This window comes from Homo sapiens, chromosome 3 (assembly GCF_000001405.40).
Source record: "Homo sapiens chromosome 3, GRCh38.p14 Primary Assembly".
NCBI classification, from domain to species: domain Eukaryota; kingdom Metazoa; phylum Chordata; class Mammalia; order Primates; family Hominidae; genus Homo; species Homo sapiens.
Window position 1 is genome coordinate 99,728,877 of NC_000003.12, and position 19,948 is coordinate 99,748,824.

Consider the following 19,948-nt stretch of genomic DNA (forward strand, 5'->3'; position numbering starts at 1 on the left):
CTTCCTGCCATGTTCTTCTTTAATATTTACCATTAGAAAAAGCCTGTCTTTTCCTGACCTCTGTTATTTAGAAGACCTCTGACCATGTCCTGCATCACCATTATATTCTCAATATGTTTTCCTGACTGAAGGTTCATCCAGTTGTTTCATTTGAAAAAAAGCTAGTATTTCACCTTCCATATTTCCTCAACAAGAATGAGGAATTCTGGGAAACATTTGATATATTTCCATCTATTTCAAAAGTATCAGAAGGATGCACTAGAATGAAAATCTTATAGGTATCTTCTGTCAAACATTGCCACTTAAATTATAGTATGAGGGCCTAACTTTAGCTTCCAACTATGGAAGCTTCTGTTCTCCAGCTCTCTAAGCTGATGTTGCTTTTTCTCAAATTTACTTACATATTGAAGTGTTAATTTCTCACACCTACCTTCTTTATTCCAAACTAATAGAATCCAAAGATTTCATACAAACTTCAGTTATTTAGATCTTTTCAGTGTTTTCCTTTACCAGATTATTTAGGTTTGGCTTCTTTGAACTTTGAAACCATTAAATATGGTCATGAGACCATTGCATGGGTTTTATTTTTTTTAAAAAAAGAAAAGGAAAATTAAGGTCTCTCTAAACATAATGTACTCAAAAGAAAGCCAGTGATCTACCAATCTAGACACTCGATGGTGCCTTAGTACATCCTTAGGGAATTTTTTCCTCTCTTCTAATTTATCATGATTAGCTGTTAGTTCAGAATTGATCCTATTTCTTTAGAAATGGATGTCATAATCCTAGAGTTTTATGAGACTCTACAACCTTTAGTTTTTGTAAAAAATCAGCCAAAGGCTTAAAGAGTTCCTTCAGATGGGTAAAGAAAGGGAAATTATCTCTCCCCACCCCTTCCTCTAGCTCTCCAAGCATGATAAGAAGCATGAAACCAAATCAGATGTACTACTCTATGAGAAGGTAAGAATAGCTTAAAGGAACCTCAAGATGCCTCACCCAATTGTCTTTTTCTAAATCCTGGCACTTTAATACAACACAAATGTGCAGTCCCTATGGAAACCTTGTGCCCAATTTAATAGCATTGTTGATCAATGAACATTTGTCATGCTCCAGACAACTGCCATGAATCAGTAAAATAAAATACAGCATCCCTTAAAAAACTTGAAACCAAACTCTGGGATGATGTCAATGGGATAAGAATAGGCAGTTCCTTTCTTTTCCTGATTCCTCTTCACCAATCTTCTCCTTCAACATTGCATGAAAGAATAGAATCTTTATTTCCATTGCCTTTATTCATTTACTGCACAGTCGTAAGGATTAAATGAGACTGTGCAGATAACACAATTAGGAAGGAGACTGGCTCAAAGGACATGTTTAACAAATATGTGTTTCCTCTTCCTTCAGGAACCATAAGAATGTGGTAAGCCTGTTTTGTGAAGGAAATTCAAAACTGGTGAAGATAGGCTATGTTGAAATGCATATCAAAACTCCTGCCTGATCATCTGAGAGAATACTATATATTTTTTGAAATGTTATGACATATCTGTAAATGACAATTTAGATTTTGAGTCTTGTTATCATACCTGGCCACTGAAGCCCAGCCACTAAGTTTCCTGCACCCCAGAGTGAATGATAGAGAAACAGCTTGAACTCCCATGCACTCAATGGAGTCATTAAGACGTCTCATTCTGGAGGCTTGTATTAAACTAGCCTCCAAAAATGAAACACTTTTTTCAACACTTTCAGTGTGAAAGGAAAGTCTTTTTATTAAGACTTGTTCCTTACTCAGTAAATAAATCACATATTTGGCAGCAATAAAAATATTGGTGAGAAGTGAACGTTATTCATTTCAAAGCAAGGAGCCTGTTGAGTGGTGGTACAGTTTTTAAAATACTGATTTGACAAAAGAGCTCTCAGCGAACTCATGAAATAATTTTATGCTTTTGTAATTTTTGTTTGTGGCCTTTTCTTTTTTCAAAATTGAAGCTATGTACTTAACTCTAATCAGAACCATTAAAGTCTTTTAAAATGCCCATATAGTTTACAATTTCTGTTCTTTTTTAAAAATCATGTCATGACGTTTCTTTTGTAGTGCTAAGTTCTGTGTTTCAAAAGCACAAAGAATATTTATTTGTAAGGAGTCTAGTAAATATTTATGGAATGCCTACCATGTGCCAGGCCTGGTTCTGGTTGCAAAAGATGTTACAGTACACAAAGCAAGTTTCCTGCTTTGGAGTAGTTGGGGAGAGAAGAACGATAGGGGTTGAGACAGACTGAAAATAAACAAAATGTATAATTAAGTAAGGAAGCTATCACTGCTACTACAGAATTAAAGAGAATTAAATATATATAAAAATGAGTGCTTAACTTTAGATTGGATGTTCAAGAAAAACCTTTTTGAGGAAGTGATATTCAAGAGGAGATTGAAATGGTGAAGCGTCCAGACAGCCATGCAGTGCTCTGGAGGAAGAGCATTATAGACAGAGGAATGGCAAAGCCCTATAAGTAAGGATCAGCTCTCTGTTTTTCATAAGTTGAAGGCCAGTGTGGCCAGGGTGGAGGATAAGAAGGGAGAGGTCAAGGTTGGAAAGAAGCCAGAGTGGGAATAATGTGGGGCATAGCAGCCAGGAAATAAGTTTAGATTCATTCTCAGTGCCATGGGGAGCTATTGGGTATGGGGACTGGGGTACAGAAGCAGGAGAATGCCATGATCTGATCTACATTTTTCAAAGTGCACCTCATCTGCTGTGCACAGAGTAGAGCAAGAGTAGAGGTGTGTTTAAGGCAATTGCAACCACTGAAGGGATGTAAGCAAGAAAACTGACTCATTTGTTTTGGTTTTTGTTCTCAAGATCTGACTATGGTATAGAAACTGGACTATGGTAGAAACGGAGGTATCAAAGGAGCCAGAGTGAAAGAACTTTCAGTAAATTTGGAAAGTGGTGTGAATTCAGATATGGAGGTCAGATGGTGTCCTTGGGTTATAAGAAGAGACAACACTCATGAACAATTATTATGCTTATTATTTATAAACACACAAATATAAGTATAAAACTATTAAGGCCACATAACAAAATGAGAGTGATGCCTCTACAAGCTGAGAGACAGCAAGGCTTGTTAACAAACACCAGAGCTGGAAGGGGCAGAAGAATTCTTTTCTAGAACCCTCAGAGGGGGCATAGCCCTGCCAATATCTTGATTTCGGACTTCCAGACTCCAGACTTCAGACTTGGAGAGAATATATTTTTGTTGTTTTAAGGCAAAAACTAATAAATAAATAAAACGATTAATGCATTCTTATTTATAAATACATAAATTCTTTTAATCATCACCATATTCAATGGAATAGGTACTCAGCTCATTTTCCTTATATGAAGAATCCAAGTCAAAGTGGTAAATCAAGTTTCCAAATATCCAGGTGTATTAGTCCCTTCTCATGCTGCTAATAAAGACATACCCAAGACTTGGTAATTTATAAAGGAAAGAGATTTAATTGATTCACAGTTCAGCATGGCTGGGGAGGCCTAAGGAAACTTACTACAATCATGGTGAAACGGGAAGCAAACACATCCTTCTTCACATGGCAGCAGCAAGGAGAAGTGCCAAGCAAAAGGGGGAAAAGGCCCTTATAAAACCATCAGATCTCATGAGCACTCACTCACTATCCTGAGAACAGCATAAGGGTAACCACCCTCATGATTAAATTACCTTCCCCTGGGTCCCTCCCATGACACATGGGGATTACGGGAACTATAATTCAAGATGAGATTTGGGTGGGGACACAGCCAAACCATATCATTCTGCCCCTGGCCCCTCCCAAATCTCATGTCCTCACATTTCAAAACACAATCATGCCTTCCCAACAGTCTCCCAAAGTCTTAACTCATTCCAGCAGTAACTCAAAAGTCCAAGTCCAAAGTCTCATCTAAGACAAGGCAAGTCCCTCCCACCTATGAGCCTATAAAATCAAAAGCAAGTTAGTTACTTTCAAGATACAATGGGGGTACAGGTATTGGGAAAATACACCCTTTCCAAATGGCAGAAATTGGCCAAAACGAAAGGACTACAGGCCGCATGCAAGTCAAAAATACAGCAGGGTAGCCAAATATTAAAGCTCCAGAATGATCTCCTTTGTCTCAATGTCTCATATCCGGGTCATGCCGATGCAAAATGTCAGCTCCCACGGCCTTGGGCAACTCTACTCCTGTGGCTTTGCAGGGTACAGCCTCTCTCCCAGCTTTTTTCTTTTTTTTTTTTTTTTAAACTTTCTTTTTTTTATTATTATTATTATACTTTTAAGTTTTAGGGTACATGTGCACATTGTGCAGGTTAGTTACATATGTATACATGTGCCATGCTGGTGTGCTGCACCCACTAACTCATCATCTAGCATTAGGTATATCTCCCAATGCTATCCCTCCCCCCTCCCCACACCCCACAACAGTCCCCAGAGTGTGATATTCCCCTTCCTGTGTCCATGTGATCTCATTGTTCAATTCCCACCTCTCAGTGAGAATATGTGGTGTTTGGTTTTTTGTTCTTGCGATAGTTTACTGAGAATGATGATTTCCAATTTCATCCATGTCCCTACAAAGGACATGAACTCATCATTTTTTATGGCTGCATAGTATTCCATGGTGTATATGTGCCACATTTTCTTAATCCAGTCTATCATTGTTGGACGTTTGGGTTGGGTCCAAGTCTTTGCTATTGTGAATAATGCCGCAATAAACATACGTGTGTATGTGTCTTTATAGCAGCATGATTTATAGTCCTTTGGGTATATACCCAGTAATGGGATGGCTGGGTCAAATGGTATTTCCAGTTCTAGATCCCTGAGGAATCGCCACACTGACTTCCACAAGGGTTGAACTAGTTTACAGTCCCACCAACAGTGTAAAAGTGTTCCTATTTCTCCACATCCTCTCCAGCACCTGTTGTTTCCTGACTTTTTAATGATTGCCATTCTAACTGGTGTGAGATGGTATCTCAATGTGGTTTTGATTTGCATTTCTCTGATGGCCAGTGATGATGAGCATTTTCTCATGTGTTTTTTGGCTGCATAAATGTCTTCTTTTGAGAAGTGTCTGTTCATGTCCTTCGCCCACTTTTTGATGGGGTTGTTTGTTTCTTTCTTGTAAATTTGTTTGAGTTCATTGTAGATTCTGGATATTAGCCCTTTGTCACATGAGTAGGTTGTGAAAATTTTCTCCCATTTTGTAGGCTGCCTGTTAACTCTGATGGTAGTTTCTTTTGCTGTGCAGAAGCTCTTTAGTTTAATTAGATCCCATTTGTCAATTTTGTCTTTTGTTGCCATTGCTTTTGGTGTTTTAGACATGAAGTCCTTGCCCATGCCTATGTCCTGAATAGTATTGCCTAGGTTTTCTTCTAGGGTTTTTAGGGTTTTAGGTCTAACATTTAAGTCTTCAATCCATCTTGAATTAATTTTTGTATAAGGTGTAAGGAAGGGATCCAGTTTCAGCTTTCTACATATGGCTAGCCAGTTTTCCCAGCACCATTTATTAAATAGGGAATCCTTTCCCCATTGCTTGTTTTTCTCAGGTTTGTCAAAGATCAGATAGTTGTAGATATGTGGTATTATTTCTGAGGGCTCTGTTCTCTTCCATTGAACTATATCTCTGTTTTGGTACCAGTACCATGCTGTTTTGGTTACTGTAGCCTTGTAGTATAGTTTGAAGTCAGGTAGTGTGATGCCTCCAGCTTTGCTCTTTTGGCTTAGGATTGACTTGGCGATGCGGGCTTTTTTTTGGTTCCATATGAACTTTAAAGTAGTTTTTTCCAATTCTGTGAAGAAAGGCATTGGTAGCTTGATGGGGATGGCATTGAATCTGTAAATTACCTTGGGCAGTATGGCCATTTTCACGATATTGATTCTTCCTACCCATGAGCATGGAATGTTCTTCCATTTGTTTGTATCCTCTTTTATTTCCTTGAGAAGTGGTTTGCAGTTCTCCTTGAAGAGGTCCTTCACATCCCTTGTAAGTTGGATTCCTAGGTATTTTATTCTCTTTGAAGCAATTGTGAATGGGAGTTCACTCATGATTTGGTTCTCTGTTTGTCTGCTGTTGCTGTATAAGAATGCTTGTGATTTTTGTACATTGATTTTGTATCCTGAGACTTTGCTGAAGTTGCTTATCAGCTTAAGGAGATTTTGGGCTGAGATAATGGGGTTTTCTAGATATACAATCATGTCATCTGCAAACAGGGACAATTTGACTTCCTCTTTTCCTAATTGAATACCCTTTATTTCCTTCTCCTGCCTAATTGCCCTGGCCAGAACTTCCAACACTATGTTGAATAGGAGTGGTGAGAGAGGGCATCCCTGTCTTGTGCCAGTTTTCAAAGGGAATGCTTCCAGTTTTTGCCCATTCAGTATGACATTGGCTGTGGGTTTGTCATAGATAGCTCTTATTATTTTGAAATACGTCCCATCAATACCTAATTTATTGAGAGTTTTTAGCATGAAGGGCTGTTAAATTTTGTCAAAGGCCTTTTCTGCATCTATTGAGATAATCATGTGGTTTTTGTCGTTGGTTCTGTTTATATGCTGGATTACATTTATTGATTTGCATATATTGAACCAGCCTTGCATCTCAGGGATGAAGCCCACTTGATCATGGTGGATAAGCTTTTGGATGTGCTGCTGGATTCAGTTTGCCAGTATTTTATTGAGGATTTTTGCATCAATGTTCATCAAGGATATTGGTCTAAAATTCTCTTTTTTTGTTGTGTCTCTGCCTGGCTTTGGTATCAGAATGATGCTGGCCTCATAAAATGAGTTAGGGAGGATTCCCTCTTTTTCTATTGATTGGAATAGTTTCAGAAGGAATGGTACCAGCTCCTCCTTGTACCTCTGGTAGAATTCGGCTGTGAATCCATCTGGTCCTGGACTCTTTTTGCTTGGTAAGCTATTGATTATTGCCACAATTTCAGATCCTGTTATTGGTCTATTCAGAGATTCAACTTCTTCCTGGTTTAGTCTTGGGAGGGTGTATGTGTCAAGGAATTTATCCATTTCTTCTAGATTTTCTAGTTTATTTGCATAGAGGTGTTTGTAGTATTCTCTGATGGTAGTTTGTATTTCTGTGGGATTGGTGGTGATATCCCCTTTATCATTTTTTATTGCATCTATTTGATTCTTCTCTCTTTTTTTCTTTATTAGTCTTGCTAGCGGTCTATCAATTTTGTTGATCCTTTCAAAAACCCAGCTCCTAGATTCATTAATTTTTTGAAGGGTTTTTTGTGTCTCTATTTCCTTCAGTTCTGCTCCGATTTTAGTTATTTCTTGCCTTCTGCTAGCTTTTGAATGTGTTTGCTCTTGCTTTTCTAGTTCCTTTAATTGTGATGTTAGGGTGTCAATTTTGGATCTTTCCTGCTTTCTCTTGTGGACATTTAGTGCTATAAATTTCCCTCTACACACTGCTTTGAATGCGTCCCAGAGATTCTGGTATGTTGTGTCTTTGTTCTCATTGGTTTCAAAGAACATCTTTTTTTTTTATTATTATACTTTAAGTTTTAGGGTACATGTGCACATTGTGCAGGTTAGTTACATATGTATACATGCGCCATATTTCTGCCTTCATTTCGTTATGTACCCAGTAGTCATTCAGGAGCAGGTTGTTCAGTTTCCATGTAGTTGAGCGGTTTTGAGTGAGATTCTTAATCCTGAGTTCTAGTTTGATTGCACTGTGGTCTGAGAGATAAGTTTGTTATAATTTCTGTTCTTTTACATTTGCTGAGGAGAGCTTTACTTCCAAGTATGTGGTCAATTTTGGAATAGGTGTGGTGTGGTGCTGAAAAGAATGTATATTCTGTTGATTTGGGGTGGAGAGTTCTGTAGATGTCTATTAGGTCCGCTTGGTGCAGAGCTGAGTTCAATTCCTGGGTATCCTTGTTGACTTTCTGTCTCGTTGATCTGTCTAATGTTGACAGTGGGGTGTTAAAGTCTCCCATTATTAATGTGTGGGAGTCTAAGTCTCTTTGTAGGTCATTCAGGACTTGCTTTATGAATCTTGGTCCTCCTGTATTGGGTGCATATATATTTAGGATAGTTAGCTCTTCTTGTTGAATTGATCCCTTTACCATTATGTAATGGCCTTCTTTGTCTCTTTTGATCTTTGTTGGTTTAAAGTCTGTTTTATCAGAGACTAGGATTGCAACCCTTGTCTTTTTTTGTTTTCCATTTGCTTGGTAGATCTTCCTCCATCCTTTTATTTTGAGCCTATGTGTGTCTCTGCACGTGAGATGGGTTTCCTGAACACAGCACACTGATGCGACTTGACTCTTTATCCAGTTTGCCAGTCTGTGTCTTTTAATTGGAGCATTTAGTCCATTTACATTTAAAGTTAATAATATGTGAATTTGATCCTGTCATTATGATGTTAGCTGGTTATGTTGCTCATTAGTTGATGCAGTTTCTTCCTAGTCTCGATGGTCTTTACATTTTGGCATGATTTTGCAGCGGCTGGTACCGGTTGTTCCATTCCATATTTAGTGCTTCCTTCAGGAGCTCTTTTAGGGCAGGCCTGGTGGTGACAAAATCTCCAGCATTTGCTTGTCTGTAAAGTATTTTATTTCTCCTTCACTTATGAAGCTTAGTTTGGCTGGATATGAAATTCTGGGTTGAAAATTCTTTTCTTTAAGAATGTTGAATATTGGCCCCCACTCTCTTCTGGCTTGTAGGGTTTCTGCCAAGAGATCCGCTGTCAGTCTGATGGGCTTCCCTTTGAGGGTAACCCGACCTTTCTCTCTGGCTGCCCTTAACATTTTTTCCTTCATTCAACTTTGGTGAATCTGACAATTATGTGTCTCGGAGTTGCTCTTCTCAAGGAGTATCTTTGTGGCATTCTCTGTATTTCCTGAATCTGAACGTTGGCCTGCCTTGCTAGGTTGGGGAAGTTCTCCTGGATAATATCCTGCAGAGTGTTTTCCAACTTGGTTCCATTCTCCCCATCACTTTCAGGTACACCAATCAGACGTAGATTTGGTCTTTTCACATAGTCCCATATTTCTTGGAGGCTTTGCTCATTTCTTTTTATTCTTTTTTCTCTAAACTTCCCTTCTCGCTTCATTTCATTCATTTCATCTTCCATTGCTGATACCCTTTCTTCCAGTTGATCGCATCGGCTCCTGAGGCTTCTGCATTCTTCATGTAGTTCTCGAGCCTTGGTTTTCAGCTCCATCAGGTCCTTTAAGCACTTCTCTGTATTGGTTATTCTAGTTTTACATTCTTCTAAATTTTTTCAAAGTTTTCAACTTCTTTGCCTTTGGTTTGAATGTCCTCCCATAGCTCAGAGTAATTTGATCATCTGAAGCCTTCTTCTCTCAGCTCCTCAAAGTCATTCTCCATCCAGCTTTGTTCCATCGCTGGTGAGGAACTGCGTTCCTTTGGAGGAGGAGAGGCACTCTGATTTTTAGAGTTTCCAGTTTTTCTGTTCTGTTTTTTCCCCATCTTTGTGGTTTTATCTGCTTTTGGTCTTTAATGATGGTGATGTACAGATGGGTTTTTGGTGTGGATGTCCTTTCTGTTTGTTAGTTTTCCTTCTAACAGACAGGACCCTCAGCTGCAGGTCTGTTGGAATACGCTGCCGTGTGAGGTGTCAGTGTGCCCCTGCTGGGGGTGCCTCCTAGTTAGGCTGCTCGGGGTTCAGGGGTCAGGGACCCACTTGAGGAGGCAGTCTGCCCGTTCTCAGATCTCCAGCTGCGTGATGGGAGAACCACTGCTCTCTTTAAAGCTGTCAGACAGGGACATTTAAGTCTGCAGGAGTTACTGCTGTCTTTTTGTTTGTCTGTGCCCTGCCCCCAGAGGTGGAGCCTACAGAGGCAGGCAGGCCTCCTTGAGCTGTGGTGGGCTCCACCCAGTTCGAGCTTCCTGGCTGCTTTGTTTACCTAATCAAGCCTGAGCAATGGCGGGCACCCCTCCCCCAGCCTCGCTGCTGCCTTGCAGTTTGATCTCAGACTGCTGTGCTAGCAATCAGCGAGATTCCGTGGGCGTAGGACCCTCTGAGCCAGATGTGGGATATAATCTCTTGGTGCGCCGTTTTTTAAGCCCGTCAGAAAAGCGCAGTATTTGGGTGGGAGTGACCCAATTTTCCAGGTGCTGTCCGTCACCCCTTTCTTTGACTCAGAAAGGGAACTCCCTGACCCCTTGCGCTTCCCAAGTGAGGCAATGCCTCGCCCTGCTTTGGCTCGTGCACGGTGCGCGCACCCACTGACCTGTGCCCACTGTCTGGCAATCCCTAGTGAGATGAACTCAGTACCTCAGATGGAAATGCAGAAATCACCCGTCTTCTGCATTGCTCACGCTGGGAGCTGTAGACCAGAGCTGTTCCTATTCGGCCATCTTGGCTCCTCCTCTCCCAGCTTCTTTCATGACTGGCATTGAGTATCTGTGGCTTTTCCAGGTGCACAATGCAAGCTGTCGGTGGATCTACCATTGCGGGGTCTGGAGGACAATGGTCCTCTTCTCACAGCTCCACCAGGCAGTGCCCTAGTGGGGACTATGTGTGGGGGGACCAACCCCACATTTTCCTTCTGCACTGCCCCAGCAGACATTCTCCATGAGGGCCTCGCCCCTGCAGCAGGCTTCTGCCTGGATATCCAGGCATTTGCATACATCCTTCAAAATCTAGGCAGAAGTTCTCAAACCACAATTCTTGACTGCTGTGTACCCACAGACTCAACATCACATGGAAGCTGCCAAAGCTTGGGGTTTGCACCCTCTGAAGCCACGGCCCAAGCTGTACCTTGGCCCCTTTCAGCCATAGCTGGAGAGGCTGGAACACAGGGCACCAAGTCCCTAGGGTGCAAACAGCCAGCCCACAAAACCATTTTTTCTTCCCAGGCCTCTGGGCCTGTGATGGGAGAGGCTGCCATGAAGGTCTCTGACATACTCTGGAGATATTTTCCCCATTGTCTTGGTATTAACATCTGGCTCCTCATTGCTTATGCAAATTTCTGCAGCAGGCTTGAATTTCTCCCCAGAAAATTTGTTTTTTCTTTTCTATCGCATCATCAAGCTGCAAATTTTCCAAATCTTTATCCTCTGCTTCCTCTTGAACACTTTGCCACTTAGAAATTTCTTCCACCAGATACCCTAAATCATCTCTCTTAAGTTCAAAGTTCCACAAATCTCTAGGGCAGGGGCAAAATGTGCCAGTCTCTTTGCTGAAACATAGCAAGAGTGACCTTTATTCCAGTTTCCAACAAGTTCCTGATCTCCATCTGAGACCACCTCAGCCTGGACTTCATTATCCATATTACTATCAGCATTTTGGTCAAAGCCATTCAACAAGTCTCTAGGAAGTTCCAAGCTTTCCCACATTTTCCTGTCTTTCTCTGAGCCCTCCAAACTGTTCCCACCTCTGCCTGTTTCCCAGTTCCAAAGTCGCTTCCACATTTTCAGGTATTTTCATAGCAGCACCCCAGTACCAGTACCAACTTACTGTATTAGTCTGTTCCCATGCTGCTAATAAGACATACCCAAGGCTGGGTAATATATAAAGGCAAGAGGTTTAATTGACTCACAGTTCAGCATGGCTGGGGAGGCCTCATAAAACTTACCATCATGGCGGAATGGGAAGCAAACATGTCTTTCTTCACATGGTGGCAGCAGGGAGAAGTATAAGTGAAACAGGGAGAAGCCTCTTACAAAACCATCAGATCCTGTGAGAACTCACTCACTGTCACAAGAACAGCATGAGGGTAACCGCCCCCATGATTCACTTACCTCCCACTGGGTACCTCCCACAACATGTGGGGATTATGGAAACTACAATTCAAGATGAGATTTGGGTGAGGACACAGCCAAACCATATCACCAGGAAAAGTAAATGGCAAATCTAGGATTCAAAGCTCAGTCTATGTGTCCATACCAAGATTTTTCTGTTCTGCTATCATGTGCCCAGACCAGAATTAACAAAGGAAAAATACTGAAAATTCCATTCTAAATAATAAAACAATATTCTATAATATAAAATACATAATTTATTTAACTGTATTGATTTTTAGCTTGTTTCCATATCTTTACTCCTATAAATAGAACTGTAGTAAACATTTTCTATATTATTTACCTTATTTCTGATTAGTTCCTTATCTGAATTCCTAGAAGCATCAAATAATATAAATATTTTTAAAACTCTGGGTATATAATGTCAATTTATTTTCCAGTAAGTCTGTGCCATTTATACTCTCACTTAACCCAACCAACATTAAATATATTTTCATCTTGGCTGATTTGATAACTGAAATTTTAATTTCATAGATTAATTTGCATTTCCTTTCATTACTAATGAGATTGAAGGCTTTCTAATATGTTTATTAGCTTTTTAATATCTTCTTTTGTAAATTTAATTGGCTATTTTCCTATATGGTGTTAGTATTTTTTTCTTGGTGATTTGTAAGAGCTCTTTATATTGGAAGGATACTAAGACTGTTTTTTAATTCTTGCAAACAACTTTTCCCAGAGTGTATTCCACATTCAGTTTTCCAACTTTCTGTTGTAAAAATATAATAAATACAAGAGGGTATGCTCCAGCTATCTTTGCTGCATAATAAACCACATCAGAGTTTAGCAGCATAAAACAACAAACATTTTATATTACAATTTTAGTAGTCAGGAATTGAGGTAGGTCTAGAAGCTTTTTCTGCTCTCATGACTTACTCATCTGGCAACTGGTTAATTGAAGAGCCCAACATGGTTTTACTCACATGTTTAGTACCCTGGCAGTGATAAAAGGAAGGCTGAGATTTGCTGGCATTGTCAACAGGAGTGCCTACAAATGGCTTCTCCTGCGTAGTGGTCTCTAGGTAGCCAGACTTCTCACTTGGAGACTCAGGGCTCCAAAAAACAATGTTCCAGCAAAAAAGGTCAGCCTCACGGCCTTTTGTGATCCTGCTGCAGAAGTTACATAATGCCTGCTCCACTGTGCTCAATTGGTCAGTTCATAAGCTCTCCCAGATTCAATGGGAGAGAACACAGAGGAGAAACAAAGAATCTGGCCATGTTTTAAAACCTCCATAAGGTATAACATTTTTTAAGGAATAAAGCAAACTCCCCTTCACCTTTTAATTTTGTTCATGATATTTTCACCTGCAACTGGTTTTTAAGTATTTATATATGCTTATCTATCTTTTGGTTTCTTTCATTGCTTCATAATTCATTTTTAAAAATTATTTTTAAGCATCTGTCTACAACATCAAGGACATTACCAATTAATATATTTAGAACAATAATTTTTTGATCTTCAAATACTTTAAGTACTAAGTATTGTAGTTGCATTAATTTAATTTGATTCTTAATTCTTTTCATCCTTAGATTTCCATCAGTGACATATTTGAAAATTCACTTTATAAATGCAGGTCAGACCATACATTTAATTATGCAGCTGCTGTGTGGAGAAGAAAAAACAAATCTAACTAAATAATTCTTGCTTAGTACTGTGCCAAATTTCTGGCTCATTCTTCAAAAATTAACTGAAATACAATGAGTTACACATTGCCTGTGTAGCTAATGGTTCCCTTTAGTTCCTGCAATGGTGCTTGAATATTAAATAATTTGATTCATTTCATAAACAGTAATTGTAGCACTCTTTCTCACAGTATTATGAATAACAAAGTAAAAAAGTGTCATCACATTAATAGCAACAAAAATGTCTTTTAATTAGAAATTATTTTAAAGGACATTCTTCTGGATCATAGAGAGAAAAGAACCTCTTTTAAAAATATGTGGTAAGCACTCAATGTTAAATGATCCTTAGTCTCAGGGTTGAAAAACGGCAATTTAGGCATCTTCACTGTTTTTTCTCTGCTTCCACTATTGCATTTCAAAAAGCAGTTTCATCAGCTACCAAGGTGTGGGTCTGGGAAAGTTGTTCAAAGAGAGTTAAACTGAATAAGATACATGACATGTACATAACAGTGATCTTCAGCATTTGTATTATGCTATGTATCTTCCCCTTGTTTTATTTTCACCATAACTAGAAAGAAAAAAAATGAATTTTTAGAAGAAGAAGAAAAATTGAAAAAAATCTTATTGTCTAATGCAGTTCAGCACCATGAGGGAAGAGTGGAATCTAATTCATTTCTTCAACATTGTATCCCCAACACTAAGCATTATACTTTGCACATAGTAGGTGCTCAATAAATATTTATTGAAGAATGATATAAGAGAGGCACAAAAATTACTTATAGGCCTTTTCCTGATATCCAGTCTGAATCTGGAGAGTTTTTTTCATGGAAGCAATTACCTTTGTTGTATATCTCCTTTCATATCTGTCTGTATTTCCTGCCAGTCTTCTGCAAGATGTCATACTACATGAGAGTGGACTAGAAAGTCAAGCTCTTGAGTCCATTTACTATCACTAAACTTTATTACTAAAGATAATTTGAAATCCCATGGCTTTCCAGAGGCAAAGTTTCTCAAATCACCTATGGCTAAACCAAAGTTTATGTCTAAATATCTACAAGTTGAGCCAAAGTGCAGGGTGCTGCTGTATCCACCCTTCAGGCCTGAACACACATTGTGTAGCCTCTGTAGGGAAAGCCACATGTCAGAGCCTGGGCCTTGTACTTTAGGAACATTACTGCTTTTTTACAGTCATTTCGCAGATAGAAGACATTCAAGTACTTCCTCATTTTGTGTTGAGTACCAAATACAGAGAAAATCTAGAACTACACTCTCTAATATTAGAGCCACTATCCACAGGTAAATTAATTAACTCAAATTACTTAAAATTAAGTAAAACTAAAAATTAAGTTCCTCCATCACACTAGCCATATTTCAAGTGCTCAGTAGCACACTTGACTAGTAGCCACCATACTGAATAGTGTAAAGATGGAAAATTTTCATAATTACAGAAAGTTTTATTGGACAGTACTACTCTAGAATATACCACTTAAATCACATTTCGAACTTACTAAATTTGATACCCAGTTCTGCATTTATAACAAATACTGGCTTTCAAACTGATGTATTTATCTAAATGACTGAAGTTGTTCCTCTTAAAATATTTTTTGAACAGCAAATGTAGATAATTCTTTTTTTTTTTTTTTTGAGACGTAGTCTCACTCTGACGCCCAGGCTGGAGTGCAGTGGCGCGATCTCGGCTCACCGCAAGCTCCGCCTCCCAGGTTCACGCCATTCTCCTGCCTCAGCCTCCCAAGTAGCTGGGACTACAGGCACCCGCCACCACACCTGGCTAATTTTTTGTATTTTTTTAGTAGAGACGGGGTTTCACCGTGTTAGCCAGGATGGTCTCAATCTCCTGACCTCGTGATCCACCTGCCTCGGCCTCCCAAAGTGCTGGGATTACAGGCGTCAGCCACCGTGCCTGGCCGATATTTCTTAAACAAGTTCCTGTGAAACACACGAAAATAAAATAGAGAGTATCTATTACCCAAAACAGAGTTAAATTTCTGAAATACATTTTAATTGGAGACAAGTCCCATATGCTTTGTAAAAAGTCTAGGGTAGAGAGAACTTACAAAGTTTATTCAACTAGTTAAATTGTGCCAAAAACTCATATGAAAACATAAAAGTGTCACCATATTAAAGCCCCATCACAAGTGATTTGATAAATAACCAAGAATAATTTATAACTCAAATACTGCTATATGTAAATTGACAGGAAATGTATTGTTTAAAAAGTTGACCCTTCTTAAGTAAAATTAACTTTTTTCCCTGAGGTATTATTAATATTTCTTCATAAATTTGCATTATCTATGGCAAATGCCCAAAGTCTTTCCAATTATCTCCAATATGTATTAATGGAAATTGAACTGGTGAGAACTTACCATATAATATAACCATGAAAAGCAATAAAGATATACAATTTGTTGTTTATTTGAACAAAAACTACATATAGTATAGCAGAAAAATAAACTAATAGCATTTTATGTATTTATACATTCCTATTATGCAAGTTCTCCTATGATCCAGAATAATACTTTGATAATGCACTTTTAATTGCCTTGAGTAAAAGTATCCTCTTTTTTCTACTTTAGAAGCTGTTGTGAAGGCAGAGCAGCATCTGCTGAAGAGACAGAAACCAGCCCCAGAGGTGTCACAGGAAGGCACCAGCAAGGACATTGGTCTTTGATTTGATTCAGCAGTCCTGTCAAGTATAAATGTAAGTGTGAGGAGCAACAGAGGGCAGGGCAGTGGTCTGGGTGGTCCACAGGTAAAGCCGCAGATCGCTGTCCAGGAGCACAAGGGCCCTTGGCAGATGCTCAGTGTCTAGCCTGCCTGCATGTCCTGACTCCCATCCCTATCCCCATCGTTGCAAAAGCCTTGAGAACATTGCTACTAATATTAGGTTTTCAAATCCCCTGTAGTAAAATACATGTGCAGAGTGTGATCCTAGCTGATTTTTAAGTCTAGGCATGTTGAATAGAGTCTTAAAATAATCATTTCCATAGAACTTGACTAGGTATCCAAATGTTCACCAGATGCTAGGAGTTAGATTTTGCAGAGGAAAATTGTGAACTTAAGCTTCTTTTCATGATTCAGCAGAGGGTTTTAAGTAATAAAAGATCTGGAGATTTGTAACATAAATAATTCCAGTGCAAATGGGAAAATTAAAATAATCTTATCATCTCTCAGTCATGTCTATATATGTTTTTATACCATTATCATATTTCTCTTAATTGGGGCAACTTTTTTTCTGGCTGATATTTTATAGTTTTAAGTTATGAGCTGTAATGAAGAAATGATTCCTTTCAGACGACTGAAGTGATATGTACTAAATTTTCCTAAAAACAATCTAGGATGAATGAAACAGAGCATGATATGATGGAAATGGTTTTCTTTGTATGTGGTATTGAATATACTCACAGCAAAAAATAATAACAGCATGCCAGAATCCCTTTTATTCCTTAATTGATCTCTCAGCAGAAGCAATAAAAACATAAAGTACATCATTAACTTTCAAACCTTGATGGAAAAAAAAAAAACCACAACATACCGTCCATTTCTGACAAGTAGACATTATCTCATAGTATCCACAGCCATCCTATGCTTATTACTATTGCCTGGTCTTAAGTGTGACTTTTGGACACACGACTCAATATTTCCTGATATATAATAGTACAATGGTTTTTATAGTCTATTTAATTTTATTTCATAATTAAAAGAATGAATTGCTAAGATTCCCCAGATTTTTCTTGTTCTTTTTGGGACAGGGTGGACACCTGAACGAAAGGAAAAGCACAGCATTTAGCCCTATCATTAATCCCTCATTGACTGCATCCTGTCTAGAATGCATCCATTTAGAGTTCCTGGAGAAATGCAAATACATTAATGATTTTACTAAGGCATTACATTTTTAATATAGGTACCACTAATTATTTTGGCTGGATTCCATCAAAGCCAGATGTTCTCCAAATGAAATATTTATAATGCAAACCCAGGGAATAAAAAAATACATGCTCATTGAAGCAGCAGATTATAGGACTCGTGGATATTAGAAAAACTGAGGAAAGAGGCATGATGTGGGTAACAGCCATAATGTCAGAGTAAGCCTCTGAACTCAACCCAGAGAAACTTTGTAATTGTTGCAACCAGTGATAGGCTCGGCTTCTGGATTTCTTGTAACAAAATCTTACTGCCAAGGGCATTGATGAGCTCTCCCAGTAAAAAAAGTATAATAATAATGTTAAACTAAATCATAAAAATGCAGAAGGTGGTTATTAAAGGGCAGAGGAGAGAAATTGCTTGTAAAGTTCTGGTGGAAATATCAAAAATACATTTTATTGAACTTTTAAGAAATTAAGCTCTTTGTTTTTAAACTAGGGTGCAAAAGCAATAAAACTTAAAGGCCATTCAATAAACTATTTCATTCAATGGTCATCAGCAATGATTCAGCAGTAAAAATAAAAATCACATTTATTCAACATGGTCATCAATTCAGGCAGGCCTGAAGCTTACAAATGATAAGTTTGTCAGTGAAAATAACCAGCTGAAAGTATTTTTAAATGAATTTTGATTGAAAAAATAATAAAGAATTTTTTGAATGTACACCTTTTTCTTAGTGAAAATGGACTTGGTTTAACTTGACATAGTATAAAACTCTTAATGTTTTATGTAGTTTATTAAGTTCTATGAAGAAATGTATTTGAAACAAATGTAGATAATGACCAAAAAAGCTTAAATATGAACACCATGATAGGCATACAATTAAGAAAATGGAAATAGATCATGATAACTAATCTTTTGCATGCCCTCCAAAAGCACAGAATGTAACTTTTTTAATTATTTTTAATAATCTAGAGTTTTCTTTCTGATCCTTTTACCTTCCAAAAATATAGATTCCTGAATGATAGAACATAGACATTTTGGTAGACAGATTATATATTTTCCTCAAGTTAAATAACATATACCTCTAAGCAACAATCATCATAAAAACAAGCTTTTTGCTCATTAAGATACCTAATGTGCCTTACACATAGTATGTACTAAATAATATGGGTTGAACTGAATTATTCCCATTTTTTGTTCAGCTATTAATGTGTCTCTTGGATTTACACTAGAGAGGTGGTGTCCCACACATGGGAATTAATGAGCTACATCTGTAACCAAAAATATCCACGGAAAACCTGTTGAATTGATCCATATCTGTTTTATTAATCAAGCCCACTACGGAAGGGCTTTCTTGTGGTTGTACTACACTTTGGAAATAAATAGAGTGGGGAAACCACAGTTCATTTTAAAAGTTGTTTGAAACTTTGAAGAACACGGGATTTTATATTATACGACAGCAATAAACTCCAATTTTTGATGACTGTAATTCTGAGTATATAAGTATATAAATATTCTGTACATATAATTTTACTGCAGAACATTATGACTGTGGCCAAGAAGACCCTTACTGTTCAATATGGAATTTACTTGTTACTGCCACTGTCTTCCTTCCTCAATTTTTTAAAATAAAAAGACTTTTAAAAATAAAAAGAAATTTTAAAACTAGCTTGGTATGAATAGCCTTTAGCTGAAGCAGATGGCTGGAAGTCAGAAGCCCCAGATTCTATCCTTCATTCTCCTACCAACTTGGAATGTGGCCTTGGGCAAGTCATGAGAGTAAATCTACAACAAAAGAGCTAATAATGCTTTACATGTGTATGGTGTTTTATGATCTAACAGAGCACTTTCACATACAATATCTTATTTAATCTTCCCCGCAGCTTCCTGAAAAGAGTATGGCAGTTATTAACGATCCCCATTATAAAGAGGAGGAATTTGAGACCCAGTGAAACTAAATCACTTTTTCAAGTCAGGAACAGTCATAGTCTAAGATTCCCGGCTGGTCTTTGTCTTTCCTCTACACCACATTGCCACCCTCTGGCACCTCCAATGGTGGCAAAGCAGGAATGACTATAGCTGCACTGTTCAATATGATAGCCACTAACCACATTCTGGTACTGAGCATATGAAATGTGGCTAGTCCCAATTGAGATGTGCTGTGAGTGTGAAATATACACCAAATTTCTAAGACTTGGAATGAAAAACAGAATGTAAAATGTCTCATCAATACTTTATATATTGATTGCATGTTGAAATGATATTTTTAATATTTTGAGTTAAATAAAAGTAATAAGTATAAATATATTAATAAATATTACCAAATATGGTTTAATAAAATTAATTTCACCTGTTTCTTTTTACTTATTAATATGATAATAAAAAACATAAAGTTGATATTTGACTCACATTGTCCCTATGCGACAGCACTGACCAGAGGATTCCACTGTTCAGAGCCCACATACTAATTTCACAGTACTGGACTTGTTTATGTACCTGGCTTGATGTAGCTGATACAAATTCCCTAAGATGCTGTCAAATAGAGGGCAAGGTAGATTAGCAGCAATGATTTGGGCATTCTCACACATCTTCCACATGCAGGAAAAAATCTGGCTTCATTAGTTGATGCCCCAAATT

At 38.1% G+C, this 19,948-nt stretch overlaps 1 protein-coding gene across 2 annotated transcripts in view, besides 1 other annotated feature; it reads left to right on the forward strand.

Annotated features, from left to right (window-relative positions):
* Window positions 1-19,948, forward strand: part of COL8A1 (collagen type VIII alpha 1 chain) — a 160,624-nt gene that overhangs the window by 90,283 nt on the left and 50,393 nt on the right. For both annotated transcript variants that reach the window (NM_001850.5, NM_020351.4), the window contains one exon: window positions 16,021-16,145. The gene's annotated coding sequence lies outside the window, so the exon portion shown is untranslated. The remainder of the gene's footprint in view (window positions 1-16,020; window positions 16,146-19,948) is intronic.
* Window positions 2,697-2,796: an enhancer, noted in NCBI's record as "active region_20148". NCBI's record gives its function as "activates an Ori minimal core promoter by ATAC-STARR-seq in GM12878 lymphoblastoid cells {active_cell/tissue: GM12878}" and the evidence as "EXISTENCE:reporter gene assay evidence [ECO:0000049][PMID:35858748]".